The following is a 20,453-nucleotide window of genomic DNA, read 5'->3' as shown; positions in this document are numbered from 1 at the left end:
CCACTGGGAAACAGAAGTTGGAAGAAAGGGGCTTTGTGTGTTTGTTTCACCAGTCAAGTCAGCGTCACAGTCTGACAATGGTTTCAAATTATCACTGTAAGTTATTCCCATTGTCTTTTTAATGTTTCCATTTCCAGCACAAAGGAATGTCAGCTATATAAAAATGTCTCCAGAATAAAAAGATAATTTATTTCAAGTCTTATTCCTCTAGTTTTTCTCAGGCAGATCAGAATCATGTACACTATTTTCTTAAACGTGTTTGTGATGACTACTATAAAGTATCCATGAGTCAACAACCATTACAAACCCGTTTTGTTTTAATATATTTCCATGTCACTTAAATCAAGATGAACACTCTATATTAAAGGAAGCATATGTGAACCAATTACAGCCAGGATTGTAAACAACTTAGAGGAACATTTTCACTACTGTAGCCTACACACAATTAGTACAAGATCTGGCAAGGCTTGCTATGTATGCCCTTCACTTCTACCCAGCTCTGTGTGTATGGCAGGTGCACTTGACAGCAATAATGTGATTGAGAATGACCCTGTATGGTAGATGCACTTGAATGTGTGTTCAGAGTTCCAAGCTACGGTATCCAAGAGTGGCCAAACCAGAGAGTCATTCCTTATCTATGAGGAACATCTGAGTGCCCATCCAGTCCCATGGAACGCAGGCTCTCCAGGATATCACGGCCCTTTGCTTTGGTCAAGTGAAGGTTCGCAGGTGGCAGTTAGGGGGAGCATGTTAAATGAAAATGCTATGTTAACTGCATGCCTTTTATATGCAGTTGTGGTTCTCCCGCTCAACCCACCGCCACTGGCTTTCTCCCCTGTATGTAAGCCACCAACAAAACTCCATGTCTCATCTGCTGGCTCTGAGTCTCTTCTTCAGCCTCTTGAATCTGGTGCCATCCCCACTGGAGTTGAGAGGGGTTTGGCACAACTCTGCGCTGCATCTTTCTTGCCTCAACTATAGACTCCAGGTCAATAGGCCTCAGCCTCGTAAGAGTGCAGCAGACGCTTGTTTGGCTATCTGATCACAACTATACCTCCTTCTCTGGCATCTATTCCTTAACTCCAAAAGTTGAACCCCAGCACCACGTTTGAATGAAATGGCCATGCCAACATCTTCCCCACCACTCTGGGGCTGACTGGCCAGAGGCTGACATCTGACTCAACCTGGCCAATAACATTCTAGTTTTGGAAAATACAAAATTGGGACAGAGAGATAGTCATCCATTCTCAGTTGCTGGCTAGAGCTGTAAAATGTAAACACAGGAGCTGTGGGGATGTCATAAAGTGTTATATGGCTGAAAAAGCAGACAAAGTGAAGAAGGAAGCAGAACAGAGACAAGCACAAAAAGCAATGGAAAGAGGATCCTTAAGGGTTTCTATTGGCCCAGATGTACTCCAGCCATTCTTGACAAAATTCCTTCAGCTTCAGCTAACTCAATTTGATTTCCACGAGTTACAACCCAAAAGTCATATCTAATATAAAGGGAGGGAAAAAAACCAGAAGTGTCAACCTTAACACATGCAGAAACATTTTAATTTAAATTGCCTAAGCATAGAGGCACAGATATTGCAGGTTAAGCAAATAATAAGCCAGCCTACTTACAGACTGCCTACTTACTTAATACATCTAGATGAAAAATCCTATTGGAAATAATTAAAGTAGCACTGGAAAAACCAGTGTCACCATGAGACAAGTTTCTAATTAGGTTAAGCTACATGGTCATTCATTCAATATTCATAATGCCAAGTACTAGAGCTACAATGGTGTATATCAGCTTCCCTGCCTTCACAGAGCTCTCTGCTCAGAAGGAGAGAAAGGCACAATAACAAATATGATAAATACACATGTAACAAGATGCACTTATAGCACAAGGCACATGGCAGGACGCATTAGAGAAGGCTTCATGGTGGAAGCACTGCTTGAACTGTCGAAATCTTGGCCAGGCACGTTGGCTCATGCCTGTAATTCCAGCACTTTGGGAGGCCGAGGCAGGTAGACAGCTTGAGCCCAGGAGTTCGAGACCAGCCTGGGCAATGTGTCAAAACCCCACCTCTACAAAAAATACGAAAATTAGCCTGGTGTGGTGGCATGCACCTGTAGTCACGGCTACTCGGGCGGCTGAGGTGGGAAGATCACTTGAGCCAGGAAAGTGGAGACTACAGTGAGCCAAGATCATGCCACTGTACTCCAGCCTGGGTGACAAAGCAAGACTGTCAAAAAAGAAAAGAAAGAAAAAGAAATCTAAGTAAGAAGTCTAAATGGAGAATGAAGGGGTGATATAATGTGCAAGGCAAGGAGGACTACACAGTTCAGCACTGTGGAGAGTATGAAGTTCAAGTGGAGAGAGTAGTGGGAAAGGAGGGTAAAAGGTAGGCAGGAGCCCGACTGTAACGTCCTGGTTGTATTAGTCCATTCTCACACTGCTGTAAAGAACTACCTGTGAAGAAAAGAGGTTTAACTGACTCAAAAGTTCCACAGGCTTAACAAGAAGCTCGACTGGGAAGCCTCAAGAAACTTACAATCATGACAGAAGCCAAAGGGGAAACAATCACCTTCTTCTCACGGCAACAGGAGAGAGAAAGCTCGAGAAGGGGAAAGTGACACACACTTTTAAACCATCAGATCTTGTGAGAACTCATTCACTATCACGAGAACAGCAAGGGGGAAATCCAACCCCCACCCCGCCATCCAATCGCCTCCTGCCAGGCCCCTCCTCTGACACACAGGAATCACAATTCAAGATGAGATTTGGGTGGGGACACAGAGCTAAACCCTATCACTGGTACTCCCTAAGGGTTATGGCTTTTTACCCTAAGGGGAATGAAAAGTCTGGTAAGATTTAAGCAAATGGCTAACATGACTGGAAATATAAAGTAATCACATAGGGTGGCACAGTGCAGGAGGAACTGGAAGAAATTAGAGGCAAGACCAGACCAGATTAGAGGCAAGATGATCAGACAGCAGCAGCACCATAGCCATGGGGATCTATGTACAGTGGATTGAATGGTGGCCTTAAAAAGATAAATCCAAGGCTGGGCATGATGGCTCATGCCTGTAATCCCGGCACTTTGGGAGGCCGAGGCGGGTGGATCACTTGAGGTCAGGAGTTCGAAACCAGCCTGGCCAACGTGGTGAAACCCTGTCTCTACTTAAAATACAAAAAATTAGCTGGGCATGATAGCACATGCCTGTAATCCCAGCTACTTGAGAGGCTGAGGCAGGAGAATCACTTGAACCCAGGAAGCAGAGGTTTCAGTGGGCCGAGATCGTACCACTGTACTCCAGCCTGGGCGACAGAGCAAGACTCAGTCTCAAAAGAAAAAGATACATCCATGTCACTTGTGAATGTGACCTTTTGGAAAAGCGGTGTTTGCAGATGTAATTAAGCCCAGGATCTCAAGATGAGATCATCCTCGATTACTGTTAGGTCGATAGGTCCTAAATCCAATGGCAAGTGATTTTGTAGGAGGTACACAGGGATAGAGAGGAGACGACCATGTGATGGAGGCAGAGACTGGGGTGATGCAACCACAAGCCAAGGAACATTTGGAGCCCCAGAAGCTGGAAGAGGCAAGGAAAGATTCTCCCCTTAAGAGCCTTCAGGGGCAGCAGGGCCCTGCCGACACCTTGATTTCAGACTTGTGGCCTCTAGAACTGTAAGAGAATGAACATCTGTTGTTGTTACCAAGTTTGTGGTAATGTGTTATGGCAGCCACAGGAAACTATAAAAGCCTGAACCAAAGCAGCGATGGTGGAGATGAACTGGAGGATTAGAGAAAAATTTTAGAGTTGTTTTCAATACAAAGTGAACATCAGAATCACCTGGAAAAAAAAAAACCTTACAAAAATATGAATGCCTAAAACCCAAGAGAGTCTGGTTCAATAAGCCTGAGATGAGGCTCCAGGTCTGCATTTTTGCAAAGCTCCCCAAGTGATGCAGCCACAGGTAAGAACCCTGGTTTTAAAGACAAAATTCACAGTAACTGGTAACCCGTTTGGATGCACAGGGTGAGGGATAAAGGGAACAACATACAGCCTTCTGGCCTGGCCAGAGTGACAGCATTGTTAGGAACAGGAATTACAGGGACATCCGGGGGGAGGCATGGAGGAGGCAACTGAAGTTAGGTCTGGAGCTCCAGAGAAATTATAACCCTGGGGCCTTCACCATGCAGGGGCAGTTAAAGTCATGAGAATAATATAGGCTACTCAAGAAAAAGGTGCAGAATAAGGAGGCAAGGAAAGCTGGGACAGAGCCTGGGAAATTCAACTATTTAAGGAAACAGCCCTTTCTTTGTCACAAGCATAAGGACCAGGACCAGGAAAAAGTTATATCGCCAAAGACCAAAGAATTTCAACAGTGTCTAATCAGTTAAGAGGTCAGTTAAGAGAAAGAAAATGCACAACCACGATTTGGAAAAGAATGAGTCATTGGTGATCTCACCCATCTTCAAAACAAAGCAAAAACAAGCAAATGCCTCCAACCCTAAGCTTCACTATGAGCCTCCACTCTGATTTCCATTGTCTCCTCACAAAGCCAAGAATCTTGAAAAGTACCCACACCCATTATTCTGCTTCCAATACTTGCTGGCTTTTCAGTCCACTATCATTCAATCTTTGCCCCCAGATCCAAAAGTACATTTGATCATTCATCATACAGCCGGCACACCAACCAACCTCCCCTCCTTAAGAGTCTCCCAGCCGCTCTCCTATCAAGGAACCCAGTGTGGCAGATTAAAGAGGGCTTCTTCTCCCACTAAGAGGTGGAGTCTAACTCCCCTCTCCCTAAATCTGGGCTGGCTCTAGTGGTTTGCTTACTAACAACATGCAAAGGAAGTGATGTTCTGAGACTTCCAAAGGCCAGTGTGAAAAGCCGACTACCCTGGGACCACCATGCTGGGCAGGCCACATGTAGGCACTCTGCTCAGCGGTCCCAGCAGAGCCCACCCTTCCAGCCACCCCGCTAAGGCAGCAGACATGAGTGAAGCCATCATGGACACTCCAGACCAGCTGATGACCACCAGGTAACCTCAGCTGATACCATATGGGGCAGAACTGCCCAAACTCCTGACCCACAGAATTGTGCATTAAGTAACATGTTTTAAGCCACTAAGTTTGGGGTAGGTGGTTACACAGTAATAGATTCCTGGAACAGGAAGCCCCAAACCCTTCCCACAGTCATCCTCTCCCTGCCAATCTTTTTTTCTTTTTCTTTTTTTTTGAGATGGAGTCTCCTCTGTCACCCAGGCTGGAGTGCAGTGGCATGATCCTGGCTCACGACAACCTCCGCCTCTCGAGTTCAAGTGATCCTCATGCCTCAGCCTCCCGAGTAACAGGGACGACAGGTGCACACCACCATGCCCAGCTATTTTGGGTATTTTTAGCAGAGACAGGGTTTCGCCATATTGGCCAGGCTGGTTTCGAACTCCTGACCTCAAGTGATCCGCCCACCTCAGCCTCCCAAAGTGCTGGGATTACAGGCATGAGCCACTGTGCCCAGCTGGTCCCCAATCTATTTTAAGTGGAACACTGTCACCTCCTCCTGAAAACTATCACCAAATCTTCCCCTGCCTATTCACACCCCCCATCTGGCCCATCTGCCTCCTAGGGAATGTGAGTTCTAAAAAAGTGAGGCCTTCTGTATCTCTGGCACCTGGCACAGTGTAACAGGGACACACGGTAGGCAATGAAAACCTACAAGCTGGCTGGCTGATGAGAGGACCATTATCTTAGTATGTTTTGTGCTGCTATAACAGAATACCTGAGACTCAGTAATTTATAAAGAACAGAGATTTCTTTCTTACAGTTCTAAAGACTGGGACGTCCAAGGTCAGAGAGCCTGCATCTGGAGAGGCCTGCTTGGCCTCCCTAGATGTTTCATCCCATGGTGGAAGGGTAAGAGAGCATGTGTACCAGAGAGAGCAAGAAATTGAACTCATCCTTTTATCAGGAACCCATTCCTGATATAACACCATTAATCATTTACAAGGGTGGAGCCGTCATGACCTAATCACCTCTTATAGGTCCCGCCTCTCAACACTGTTGCATTGGGGATTAAGTTTCCAACACATGAACTTTGAGGGGCACATTCAAACCATAGCAACCATCTTTTGTATAGTAGAATAGAGCCCAGTCATAAAGACAAAATTCTGCTTACAAAGGCAAAAAGTTACTGTCCCATGAAAGAAGGTCAGAACGTTCCCTGGGCTGGCACGCTTTTCAGCCAGTAAGTTTGTAGAAATAAAATGTCCGAGTGCTGCTGCCACACCTGTTTCAGCTGCTGCAACAGGGGTGTTTCAATTCGAGCCCATAAGAGCCTTTCAGGCTTAACTTTCTTTTTTATTCTGGAGACTTAAAAACAGTTATTTAATAAATGTGTGATGAAAATTTAACTCTTCATATATGCAGAGCAAACAGTTGGTCTTTACAGTAAGGGTATTTGGGAGCTGCAAAGAATAATGAAAATGCTGTGTAAGAAACTTAACCAAGTAATAAAGGGTTTTTCTGTTTTATAGTTTAGAGTTCATATATTAATTCACATATTAATGGGAATTAATAACATTTGCTGTACACTTACTATGTGCCAAGAAACCCTGTGAAGGAGACATTATTACTCCTAGTGGACAGATAAAAGGCTCAGAATGGCTGATCACACACGAACTTACACAGTTAGGAAATGTCAGGCAGAACCTAAAGCTACATCAGTTCTGTCTGACTCCAAATTTCATACTCTTTCCAGTAGACAACACTGACAGTTTTTAAATTCAAGACATTTTTTGGCATACAGTGCAAAGATGGAGTCTTAAAAAGATGTCTGCCACCTAAAAATGTATTTGTCAATAAGAATTTTCTAAGGGAAACCAGAGCAAGAAGGGGGATGCTAGGTGCTCCCAGTCACATTTTGGAGACGTCACGGTTTATCTTAACTAGCCTGAACTCTTACAGCGACATCCACATGGAATGGAAGCGATGTGGGCTCCAGAAGTGGAGGTTGCATCAGCATCACAGGATCACATTCCAGAGGTGGTCAGCTCTTCATTACAGGCTGAAGACTCCGCCTTCCTTCCAAAGCAACTGCTCTGTCACTTGCACCAACAAATCACAAGCAACTACTATGATCAAAGTAGACTGTACACTGCAGATGAACAGGACGTGACACTAGAGACAGACAGACTCAAAGGCAGGGCACACAGTCTCTGAGAAAACCCTGCAATCTGGCACCAGTCTTGAGGTAGCTCACCCTAACTCACTGTATAAATGCACTATTCCAACCGCGTTTAAGGAAATGCCCATATGCCAATAAGCGCCTAACATTGGTTTTATGAAATTATAGTCCCAACCCTCTTATTATTTAACCTATCATATATGCATGGACTTCCCCTGACCCAATGGACTATAAAGCCCAGAAACGCAACAACGTTTATTTCTCTTTGCTTAAGAAATGCTGCATATAGGAGGAGGCGGAGCAATATGGCAGAATTAAAGGCTCCACCCATTGTCCCACCTCACAAGGACACCAAGTTAACAACTATCTACACAGAAAAAACACCTTCATGAGAACCAAAAATCAAGTAAGCACTGATAATACCTGGTTTTAACTTCATTATCACTGAAAGAGGCTCTAGAAGAGACAGAAGAAACAGTCCTGAATCACTGACACCATCCCTTCCACACCCCACGCAGCAGCAACAAGCCTAGTGCTAAGAGCTTCTCTGGGAGCTGAGGAGGGAGAGCACAGTAATGGTGAGGCATTGAACTAAGTGCTGTTCTGTTAGAGCAAAAGGAACACCAGACCAACTCAGCTGACGCCCAACCACGGAGGGAGCATTTAAACCAGCCCTGGCCAATCGCCTATCCAGTGGTCTGAACTTGAGTCCCCGCAAACCTCACCACCAAGGGATACAGTGCTCTGTGTCTCCATGTAAACTTGGAGGGCAGTCGAGGCCAGAAGGACTGCATCTCTTAGGTGAGTCCTAGTGATGAGCTAGGCCCAGAGACCGTGGGCTTGGCGGCAGGGAGAGGAGGGACACATGACATACTTAGACACCAGCTGGAACAGCCCAGGGAGTGTTGGCATCACCCCTCCCCTAACCTCAGGCTGCACAGCTTGTGGCTCCAAAAGAGACCCTTTCCTTCTGTCCAACTGAAGAGAGGAGACGGTAGAGTGGGGAGGACTTTGTCTTGCATCTTGGATAACAGCTGAGCCGCAGCAGGATAGGGCACCAGTCAGAGTCATGAGGTCCCCATTCCAGGCCCTAACTCCCAGATGACATTTCTAGATACAACCTGGGCAAGAAGGGAACCCACTGCCTTGAAGGGAAGGACCCAGTCCTGCCAGAATTCATCACCTGTTAACTGAAGAGCCCTTGAACCCTGAATAACCAGCAGTGATACCCAGGTACTACATCAAGGGCCTTGGTGGCTTCTGGTGAGACTTGCTGGCTTCTGTTGAGACTCAGCACATTCCCAGCTGTGGTAGCTATGGGGCAAAACTCCTTCTGCTTGACAAAGGCAGAGGGAAAAGCAAAGGGCACTTTGTCTTGCACCTTACGTACCAGCACGGCCACAGGGGGGTAGAGCACCAAGCAGAATCTTGGGGTCCCTGATTCTAGGACTTGACTCTTGGATGGCATTTCTGGTCCTTCCCTGGACCAAAGGGGACCCCACTGCCCTGAGGGTGAGTCCCAGGCCAGGCAGCATTCACAACAAGCTGACTTAAGAGACTCTAGGCCGTAAGGGAACATTGGCAGTAGTCTGGCAGTACTCCTCATGGCCTAGGGTGGCAGTGGCTAAGGGGTAAGGCTTCTCTGCCTTTGGAAATGGAAGGCAAGAACAGGAAGAACTGCACCTTCTAGTTTGAGGGCCAACTCAGCCACAATAAAATAGAACACCAGGTAGACTTCTAAGGTTTTTGACTCTAGTCCCTGACATCAGGGCAGCACTTTTGGACCCACCCAGGGTCTGGGGGGGGGCACGCTGCTCAGAAGGGAAGGACACAGCCTGGCTGGTTTTGCCACCTGCTGATTACAGAGCCCCAGAGCCTTGAGTGAACATAGGCAGTAGCCAGGGAATAGTTACAGCAGGCCTTGGGCAAGACCCAATGCTGTGCTGGCTCCAGGTCTGATCCAGTGCAGTCACAGTGGTGCTGGCCACAGGGGTGCTTGTGTCACTCCACCCCCAGCGTTAGGTGGCTCAGAAGAGAAAGAGACTCTGTATGGCTGGGAGAAAGTAAGAGAAGAGAAAAAGAGTCTCTGCCTGGCAATCCAGAGAATTCTCCTGGATTTTGTGCAACACCATCAAGGCAGTTTCTCTCTGAGTCTCCAAGAACCACAGTGTTACTGGGCCTGAAGTGCCCCCTAAAGCCGATATAGCTTAGATCACAACACCTAAGTCCTTTCAAATATCCAGCAAGCCATCCCAAAAAGGAGGGCTACAAATAAGCCCAGAAAGTGAAGACTACAGTAAGTACCTAATTTTTGAATGCCCAGACACTGAAGAACATCTACTAGCATCAACACGATCCAGGAAAACATGACCTCACCAAATGAACTAAATAAGGCACCAGGGACCAAACATAGAGAAACAAATATATGTGACCTTTCACACAGAGAATGCAAAATAGCTGTTTATGAGGAAACTCGAAGAAATTCAAGATAACACAGAGAAGGAATTCAGAATTCTACCAGATAAATTTAACAAACAGACTGAAATAATTAAAAATCTAGCAGAAATTCTGGAGCTGAAAAAGTGCAATTGGTGTACTGAAGAATGCATCAGAGTCCTTTAATAGCAGTGTGGATCAAGCTGAAGAATTTGTTAGCCTGAAGACAGGATATTTGAAAATATACAGAGGAGACAAAAGAAAGAAGAATAAAAAACAAAAAAAGCATGCCTACAAGATCTTGGAAATAGCCTCAAAGGGGCAAATCTAAGAATTATTGGTCTTAAAGAGAAGGTACAGAAAGAGATAGGAATAGAAAGTTTATTCAAAGGGATAATAACAGAGTACTCCCCAAATCTAAAGAAAGATAGCAATATCCAACTACAAGAAGATTATAGAACACTAAGCAGATTTAATCCAAAGAAGAATACCTCAAGGTATTTAATAATCAAACTCCCAAAGGTCAAGAACAAAGAAAGGATCCTAGGCCAGGCGCGGTGGCTCACGCCTGTAATCCCAGCATTTTGGGAGGCTGAGGCGGGCGGATCATGAGGTCAGGAGATCAAGACCATCCTGGCTAACATGGTGAAATGCTGTCTCTACTAAAAAACACACAAAAAATAGTCAGGCGTGGTGGCAGGCGCCTGTAGTCCTAGCTACTCAGGAGGCTGAGGCAGGGGAATGGCGTGAACCCAGGAGATGGAGCTTGCAGTGCGCTGAGATCGTGCCACTGCACTCCATCCTGGGAGACAGAGCGAGACTCCGTCTCAAGAAATAAAAAAAAAGAAAGAAAAAAAAACCAATCAACAAACAAATCACATACAATGGAACTCCAATATGTCTGGCAGCAGACTTTTCAGTGGAAACCTCAGAGGCCAGAGAAGAGTAGCATGACATAAAGTGCTGAAGGAAAAAAACTTTACCCTAGAATAGTATATTTAGAAAAAAAATCCTTCAAAGATGAAGAAGAAATAAAGACTTTCCCAGACAAACAAAAGCTGAGAAATTTCATCAATACCAGACCCCTCCTACAAGAAATGCTAAATGGAGTACTTCAATCAGAAAGAAAAGGACATTAATGAGCAATAGATAATCACCTGAAGGTACAAAATTCACAACTAACAGTAAGTACACAGAAAAACACAGAATATTATTAACACTAACTATGGTGTGTAAACTACTCTTATCCTAAGTAGAAAGATGAACCAATCAAAAATATACCTATATCAACATTTCAAGACATAGTCAGTACAATAAGACATAAACAGAACAACAAAAAGTTAAAAAGCAGGTGGAGGGGTGGCAAAGTTAAGGCATAGCATTTTTCTTAGTTTTCTTTTTGTTTGTTTATGCAAATAGTGGTTGTTATTGGGTTAAAATAACCGGTTATAAGATAGTATTTGCAAGCCTCATGTTATCCTCAAATCAAAAAACATACAACAGATATACAAAAAGCAAGAAACTAAGTCATATCACCAGAGAAAATCACCTTCGCTAGAGGAAGACAAGAAGAAAAGAAGGAAGAGAAGACCATGTAACAACCACAAAATAAATAACAAAATGGCAGAAACCCTTATTAATAATGAGAGTTTAGTCTATTTACATTTAATGTAAAGACCCATTGATCTGACCCATTGATCTGTTGCCTACAACAAACAAGCTTCATCTATAAAGACACATATGGACTGAAAATAAAGGGATAGAAAAAGTTATTCCAGCCAATGGAAACCAAAAAAGAGCAGGAGTTGCTATACTTATGTCAGACAAAATTGATTTCGAGAAAAAAACTGTAAGAAAAGACAAAGACGGTCACTATATAACGATAAAGGGGCCAACTCAGCCCCTTTAGATAGACAGATAAGCCCCAATACAATAATAACTGGAGACTTCACACCCCACTTTCAACACTGAACAGATCTTCCAAACAGAAGATCAACAAAGAAACATTGCACTTCATTTGCACTATGGAAAAAATGAATCTAATAGGTATTTACGAAATATTTCATCCAGCAGCTGCAGAATACACATTCTTTTCCTCAGCACATGGATCATTCTCAAGGATAGACCACATTATGTGGTCTGTCCAAGGTCATATGTGTTAGGTCACATATGCGCTTGAAGACAGGCTATTTGAAAACAAATGTTAAACAAGTCTTAAAACATTCAAAAAATTTGAAATATCAAACATCTTATCTGATCACAATGGAATAAAAGTAGAAATTAATAACGAGAAATTTTGGAAACTATACAAATACATGTAAATTAAACAATATGCTACTGAATGACCAGTGGGTCAATGAAGAACTTAAGAAGGAAACTGAAAAATATCTTGAAACAAATGATGATGGAAATACAACATACCAAAACCTATCAGATACAGCAAAAGTAGTACTAACAGGGAAGTTTATAGCTGTTAATGGCCTACATCAAAAGAGAAAAAACTTCAAATGAACAATCTAATGATGCATCTTAAAGGACTAGAAAAGCAAGAGCAAACCAAACCCAAAATTAGTAGAAGAAATAATAAAGATCAGAGCAGAAATTGAAAGGAAAGAAACAATACAAAAGATCAATACAACAAAAAGTTGGTTTTTTGAAAAAAAAAAACCAACAAAATTGACAAACCTTTAGCCACACTAAGAAAAAAGAGACAAGACCCAAATAAATAAAACCAGAAATGAAAAAGAAGACATTACAACTGATACTACTGCAGAAATCCAAATGATCATTAGTGGCTATCATGAGCAACTATATGCCAATAAATTAGAAAATCTAGAAGAAATGGAAAAATTCCTAGATACACACAACTTACAAAGATTGAACCAGGAAGAAATCCAAAACCTGAACAGACCAATAACAAGTAAGATCAAAGCTGTAACAAGAAGTCTCCCAGTAAAGAAAAGCCCGGAACCTGGTGACTTCACTGCTGAATTCTACCAAGCATTTAAAGAAGAACTAATACCAATCCTACTCAAACTATTCCAAAAAATAGAGGAGGGAATACTTTCCAAACTTATTCTATGAGGCCAATATTTCCCTGATACCAAAACCACATGAAGACACATCAAAAAAAGAAAACTACAGGCTAATATCTCTGGTGAATAATGATGCAAAAATCCACAACAAAATACTAGCAAACCTAATTCAACAATACATTAGAAAGAACATTCACCATGACCAAGTGGGATTTATTCCTGGGATGCAAGGATGGTTCAACATATGCAAATCAATCAATATGATACACTGTATCAACACAATGAAGGATAAAATGGATTTATCCTTCAATTGATGCTTAAAAAGCATTTGACAAAATTCAACATCCCTTCATGATAAAAGCACTCAAAAAACTAGGCATAGAATGAACATACCTCAACATAATAAGAGCTATATATGACAGACCCACAGCTAGTATCATACGGAATGGGGAAAAGCCTTTCCTTTAAGATCTGGAACATAACAACGATGCCCACTGTCGCCACCATTACTCAACATAGTACTGGAGGTCCTAGCTACAGTAATCAGATAAGATGTAAAGGGCATCCAAACCAGAAAGTAGGAAGTCAAATTATCCTTGTTTGCAGATAATATAATCTTATATTTGGAAAACTGTAAAGACTACAAGAAAACTATTAGAATTCATCAACAAATTCAGTAAAGTTGCAGAATACAAAATCAACATACAAAAGTCAGTAGCATTTCTATGTGCCAATACTGAACAACATGAAAAAGAAATTTTAAACGTAATCCCATTTACAATAGCCACACATAAAATTAAATACCTAGGAATTAACGAGTCAAGTGAAAGATCTCTATAATGAAAACTGCATAACACTGAAGAGGACACCAAAAAATGAAAAGACATCCCATGTTCATGGATTGGAAAAATAAATATTATTCAAATGTCCATACTACCCAAAGCAATCTACAGATTCAATGAAATCCCTATTGAAATACCAGTAACATCCTCCACAGAAATAGAAAAAAAAAATCCTAAAAAGTATACAGAGCAACAAAAGACCCAGAATAGCCAAAGCTGTCCTAAGTATAAAGAATGAAACCGGAGAAATCACATTACCTGACTTAAAATTACACTACAGAGGTACAATAACCAAAACAGCATGGTACTGGTATAAAAATAGACACATAGACCAATGGAACAGAATAGAGAACCCTGAAACAAATCCACACACCCACAGTGAACTCATTTTTGACAAATGTACTAAGAACATACGCTGGGAAAAAGTCTCTTCAATAAATGGTGCTGGGAAAACTGGATATCCATATGCAGAAAAATGAAACTAGACCACTATCTCTCACCATATACAAAAATCAAATCAAAATGCATTAAAGATTTAAATCTAAGACCTCAAACTATGAAATTACTACAAGCAAACACTGGGGAAAATCTCCAGGACACTGGCCTAGTCAAAAATTTCCTGAATAATACTCCACAAGCACAGGCAACCAAAGCGCCATTTGTCACATCAAGTTAAAAAGTTTCTGCACAGCAAAGGATACAATCAATAAAGAGAAAACGCACAGAATGGGAGAAAATATTTTAAAACTATTCTTTGACAAGGGATTAATAACCAGAATATATAAGGAGCTCAAACAAAAAAAAAATCTAACAATCCCATCAAAACATGGGCTAAAGATTTAAATAGACATTTCTCAAAGAAAGACATACAAATGACAAACAGGTGCTCAACATAACTGATCATCAGAGAAATGCAAATAAAAACTACAATGAGATATCATTTCACCCCAGTTCAAATGGCTTTTATCCAAACGACAGGCAATAATAAATGCTGGCAAGGACATGGAGAAAAGGGAACCCTTGTACATTGTTGTTGGGAATGTAAATTAGTACAACCACTATAAGAACAGTTTGGAGGTTCCTCAAAAAACTAAAAATTGAGCACCATATGACTCAGCAATCTCACTACTGGGTATATACCAAAAAGAAAGGAAATCAGTACATCAAAGAGATATCTGCATTCCTATGTTTGCTGCAGCACTGTTTACAAGAGCTAAGATTTGGAAGCAACCTAGGTATCCATCAACAGATGAATGGATAGAGAAAATGTACATATACGCAATGGAGTACTATTCAGCCATAAAAGGAAATAAGATCCAGTTATTTGCAACAATGTGGATGGAACTGGAAGTCACTATGTTAAGTGAAATGGGCCAGGCACAGAAAAACAAACATCACATGTTCTCACTTATTTGTAAGATCTAAAAACCAAAACAACTGAACTCACGGACATAGAGAGTAGAAAGATGGTCACCAGTGGCTGGGAAGGCCAAGAGGAAGGTAGGGATGGTTAACGGGTATTTAAAAAAAAAAATAGAAAAATGAGTAAGACCTACTATTTAATAGCACAATAAGGTGGCTACAGTCAATAATAACTTAGTTGTACATTTTAAAATAATTTACAGAATGTAATCGGATTGTGTGTAACTCACATGCTTGAGGGGATGGATACCCTGTTCTCCATAATGTGGTTATTTCACATTGCATGCCTGTATCAAAACATCTCATGTACCCCTAAATATATACACCTACTGTGCACCCACCAAAATTTTTTTAAAAAGGAAAAAAAAGAAATGTTGCATATGGGAAAGTCTTACAAAGTACGTAGGTTTGATTTCTGGCCAGAGAACTAATATGGTAGTGCCACAACAGACTTTTTAGAGATAACCTGCAGCAGCTTTGTAAACATCAGTTCATTCAGAATATGTTCCCTGGCTTGGCCTTACAATAGATTCAAGTCCCCATTCCTAGCTGGAAATGGTCTTTGCTCCAAGTAGCTGCTTAAGATATAACTGAAAAAAAATATATATATATGTATTCATTCAAAATGCATCAAATAATGTGCATGGGGCATGTTAGTCCCAGGGCTGGATGTTAAGGGGCTTAGGAAACAAAAAGACACCCTGTCTTTTGACAGACTCAGCCAGGTAGGCAAGATAGTCAAGGTAACAGATATGAAAGACCCAGCCAGGCGCTGTGGCTCACGCCTGTAATCCCAGCACTTTGGGAGGCCAAGGCGGATGGATCGCGAGGTCAAGAGATCGAGACCATCCTGACCAACATGGTGAAACTCCATCTCTACTAAAAATACAAAACTTAGCTGGGTGTGGTGGCGCGTACCTGTAGTCCCAGCTACTTGGGAGGTGGAGTTTGCAGTGAGCTGAGATCACGCCACTGCACTCCAGCCTGGCACCAAAGCTAGACTGTTTCAAAAACAACCACCACCAAAAAAAAAAAAACAGATGAACAGATGAAAGACCCCTGACAAATGCTAATAAAAAGGACTTAGAAAGCACAACAGGAAAAAAAGAAATAAATGAAAGCAGAATAGTAAGCTTTGAATTGGGATGCTACTCTGATGTCTTTGAGGGGCTATTTCCTGGCATGTCTTACACGTGTGATTCTAGTCATGGAACCTTAATAACAGTCTTCTATGCCAGACCTGTGTGACAACGTAAGTTCATCTTCCATTATCTTACACATCTCTACTGGCTGTTGAGAGGTTTCATATTTCTTTGCATAATCCCCTTTACCTCTACAGGGAACCTTAAAACAGAGGAGGGGCCCAATAAAAGTCACCACATTTGTGTGAAAATAACGGCAGGGGTCTAAGGATCATGAGAGAGGGATTCCAGCTCTACCTCTTTTCCTAGCTGATGCTGTGAACTTACCTAAACCATAACTAAGATGGGCCCCAGTTCCCTCAGCTACACAGATAGTAACACAGTTACAAATTCAGTTTTTAAAAGATCCCAAAATTCTTTCAAACATTTCAATTCAGTATCAATACAGGAGGCGTTTCATCCAACTAAAATACTGGCATCCCGTCTAAGAAAGGTGGAGGCTGTCATTGCTAGGTTAACTACTGGCTTTGATATGTTGCTGCAGTTTACAGAAGACCCCCAAATCTTTATAGCAATTGAGATGTGGCAGTTAACTTTCAGGTAACCTTTTTCTTATCTTGAAGTTTTCCAGCTTCCCCATGCCAAAATGCTTCCCAAGGCTATTAAAAAGTTCTTAATATCAGAAACACAGTACCACTCCCATGTTCATTAAGTTTTAACCTGTTCTTCCTGTATTTATGTACCCACACACCATCATTCATCAGCCCCCTACCCTCACCCGAAGTAAAAGACCTGGTGCAAAGGGAAGAGGAGGACTGTGTCCTGGCTCTGCCTCCAATGCCAAATGTGACTTTGCACATATCCCTTAACTTCTCAGAGTCTGTTTCCTGCCTCATAAAGTAGAAAAGCATAACACCATATGGTTTTGGTTCTGGGACAGTGTGGTGTGGGGAGGTAAGGGCAGAGTTAACTAGCTCACAGGAGGCCTCGACTGACTCCCAACCCCAGCCTCATTAGTACCACACTTAACACTAATCCCTGGGCAAGCACTCTGTTACTTCCTGCATTTATTCCAATCCCTATTAATTCTTGAAAGCCAAATTTCCCTACTTCTTCCTCCAACCAGGCCACACACAAAAAGAACATGCAAAACAAATCCAGTCTACCTAAAAAAAAAAAAAACAAAGAAACTGTTTATGAAAAGAACTATATTATCTAATATTTAGCTGCTTGCCTTTTTGAAGTCCTTCTCCTCTTCTTTTTCATCTCAAATAGGTACTGTTATTGAATCATACAAGATGTTTTTATTGTTCTGAATCTGACTTCTGAGCATTGCTGGAGGGTCAACAGCAGAGCACTTTTCACTGACCAACTTGAAGGTGGGCAAAGTACTGGGAATCAGGAAGGCTATTTATGTTACTCTTAAAGACTGTTTCTTGTATGCTGCTGTTGGCTCTAACAATCCAAAATATCGCCACTTAAGTATATATTAATATAACATTAGTTCTTTATGTCAAATAATTTTTTTTACCCTATGGGTAAAAATTATTTTTTAAGTATTGCCCTGCAGTAATTTTTGATTCCCAAAAGAAGAGAAAATATCACACCAAGAGAAAAAAACAAAGTGTAGCAACAAATAGATCAGTATAGTACTTATTTGTATAATGCAAGAACCACCAGGTAAAGGTTTGTTATTATATCTTATTCCTGAATGAGAGCCATTTTTATACTCCATACTTTACATATTTTACCAATTAATAATTTTGGGGTTAGACCATGTGACTTGCTTTGGCATGAAATGTGCCTGGCAGTTGGTATTATACTCTGGCATCTCTGCCATGGCCACAGGAAGAACATGTCCAGCTAGCCTGCCATGCCAAGGAGAATGAGAGACACTTGGAGAAGACCCAGACCACATCCACACAGCAGGCGCAAAGCCACTCCACCACAGCCTAAAGCAGTGCCTCCTCAACCAGCCCACGGAGTCGAGAGAGCAAACAATTGTTTTAAGTCACTGAGTTTCGGGATGATTTGTTACACAGCATCATATGGCAATAATTAGCTGATACTCTGTGTTTCACATGCAAATTAACTTAAGCAGCTTCCTCTGTATCTAAAGACTGTGAGCTAAATACACATAAAATACCAAATATATACCCTCTGAACGTTTTATATATAAAGAATACTCTTTCAGAAAGAAGTCTAAAATTAAGGATAACTTCAAATGTCTCCCTTTTAATATCAGTTGTAAGAAAATCAGATTCTTTTTAAAAATGAGTATATATTAAAGAAGACAGATGGTAATATTAAATTGTATGTCTTTTATTTTTCTTTCCAATAAATCACTATGTCTTTTAAAATCTGTGGTCCCTCAAATAAGCCAAATAATGTGTGTGCACAAATATCTTAATCTCTAATGATCAATTTTAGATACAAAATAATTAGGAAAATTTTTAATTATTTGGCAAAACACTGACTCTTTTAAATCTGTTTATATACAACTTCTACTATAGTAAGAAGTCTCTTAAAAAATAATCTCGGCCAGGTGTGGTGGCTCACACCTGTAGTCCCAGCACATTGGGAGGTCAAGGCAGGTGGACAGCTTGAACCCAGGAGTTCAAGACCAGCCTAGGCAACATGGTGAAACCCCACCTCTACAAAAAGTAAATAAATAAAATATAAAAATTAGCCAGGTGTGGTGGCATGCACTTGTAGTCCCAGTTACTCGGGAGGCTGAGGTGAGAGGACCACTGGAGCCCAGGAGGTCAAGGTTGCAGGGAGCCGAGATCATACCACTGCACTCCAGCCTAGGTGACACAGTGAGACCCTGTCTCGAAAAATTAAATTAAATTAAAATAAGAATCTTGGGCAGGCACGGCAGCTCACACCTGTAATCCTAGCACTTTGGGAGGCTGAGGCAGGCAAATCACCGGAGGTCAGGTGTTCGAGACCAGCCTGGCCAACACCATGAAACCCCGTCTCTACTAAAAATACAAAAATTAGCCAGGCGTGGTGATGCACATCTATAATCCCTACTTGGAAGATGGCTGAGGCAGGAGAATCACTTGAACCTGGGAGGTGGAGGTTGCAGTGAGCCGAGATTGCACCACTGCACTCCAGCCTGGGCAACAGAGTGAGACTACATCTCAAAATAAGAAGAAGAAGAATCTCAAAGGCTACCTATAAATGAAACAGTAACATAGTAACATTGGCCCTATCATCTAACATTTCAAATAAAGAAACTTGATGGTACACAGAAATCTGATTATTGCCCTAAGTTTGAGACTAGGTATTAAAGCCGGAAATTGAAACTAGCATTGGAATCCTCTGTATCATACCTAACTACTAAAATAATTACTTCCAGTGTCTTTTCCTTTTAACATTTCATGGCATGCCTTTCTTACTACTCCTAAGAATCATGCTAATATATATTTACTTTAAACTTTTTGAATATGCTTAGAGAATTTTTCAAAATTCCTGGAAATACATACATGCCAGATCGAGTAAATCCAACTTTGAACATTAATGGACAACAGCCAAACAAATTACTTACTAAGGAGATACTTAATTGCTATTGTACAGAAACAAATTCTCAAAATGATAATTTTTACAAATCATTTTGGCTTTGTTCAATTACCCCTGAGAGATTTTTTTTGGGGGGGAGTGATTTTATGTGAAATATAAACACTTTTTAATGAGCTACAAAGCATAAAGCCATTCACAGCTTTACATTGTGTATATTGATGCTACATGGATTCATCCCCTTCATAAGACTTTTCTAAAGAAGATTCTTCTATTTCTAGAATATCTACATATAACTAATAGCTGAACCATGAGATTAGAAAATATTAGAAATAAAATGTATACAAATTCAAGCTTATTTTAAGAAATCGAAGCACTCTCTAGAAGTACATTTTCTTACTAACTGCAAAGTAGTAAGTGAATCAGGTCAATTACTCAAAAGTACCTCTGAGCCTCTCTGTAGTAAATGATGTTTGCCACAACCAACTCTCCAGTGTTACAAAAGTATATTACCTAGAAGTTAATTTTAGTTTGACACATTAACCCACTGGCTGCAAAGAGGGAAGCCCTTCATGTACGCCACGAAAATACATGAATACAATAACTTGGCAATTATCACAAATAGCATGTTATATTTTACATGGATGCTAGGAGTCAGTCAACAGCCATGTACATAATCTGAATACAGGGAATAAATACATGATCAAAAATCCAAGAATCAGAACACAACAGCAGTTTTCTCCAAAATCTCCCAGTTTACAAATTCGTGAAATGTAAGAAGATTCTTGGGTAATTTGCAGCCTTACACAGAGAGGCACAGTTTGAGAGCTACAAATGACCTTATAGGTATAATGATTCATTGTATAGATCC

At 41.3% G+C, this 20,453-nt stretch overlaps 1 protein-coding gene across 6 annotated transcripts in view; it reads right to left on the bottom strand.

Annotated features, from left to right (window-relative positions):
* Positions 1 to 20,453, bottom strand: part of PELI2 (pellino E3 ubiquitin protein ligase family member 2) — a 183,114-nt gene that overhangs the window by 124,271 nt on the left and 38,390 nt on the right. Inside the window, exon 1 of one of the 6 annotated variants that reach the window (XM_017021478.2) lies at positions 1,096 to 3,846. The exons of the other annotated variants lie outside the window; for them this stretch is intronic. Coding sequence (XP_016876967.1) covers positions 1,096 to 1,133 — 38 coding nt within the window. The 5' untranslated portion in view covers positions 1,134 to 3,846. Of the gene's footprint in view, positions 1 to 1,095; positions 3,847 to 20,453 lie in introns of those variants that run through there. 6 annotated transcript variants of the gene reach the window in all.

Source organism: Homo sapiens, chromosome 14, assembly GCF_000001405.40.
Source record: "Homo sapiens chromosome 14, GRCh38.p14 Primary Assembly".
NCBI classification, from domain to species: Eukaryota; Metazoa; Chordata; class Mammalia; order Primates; family Hominidae; genus Homo; species Homo sapiens.
The sequence above is the reverse complement of the archived record's forward strand: the minus strand, read 5'-3'. Positions and strand labels throughout refer to the sequence as shown.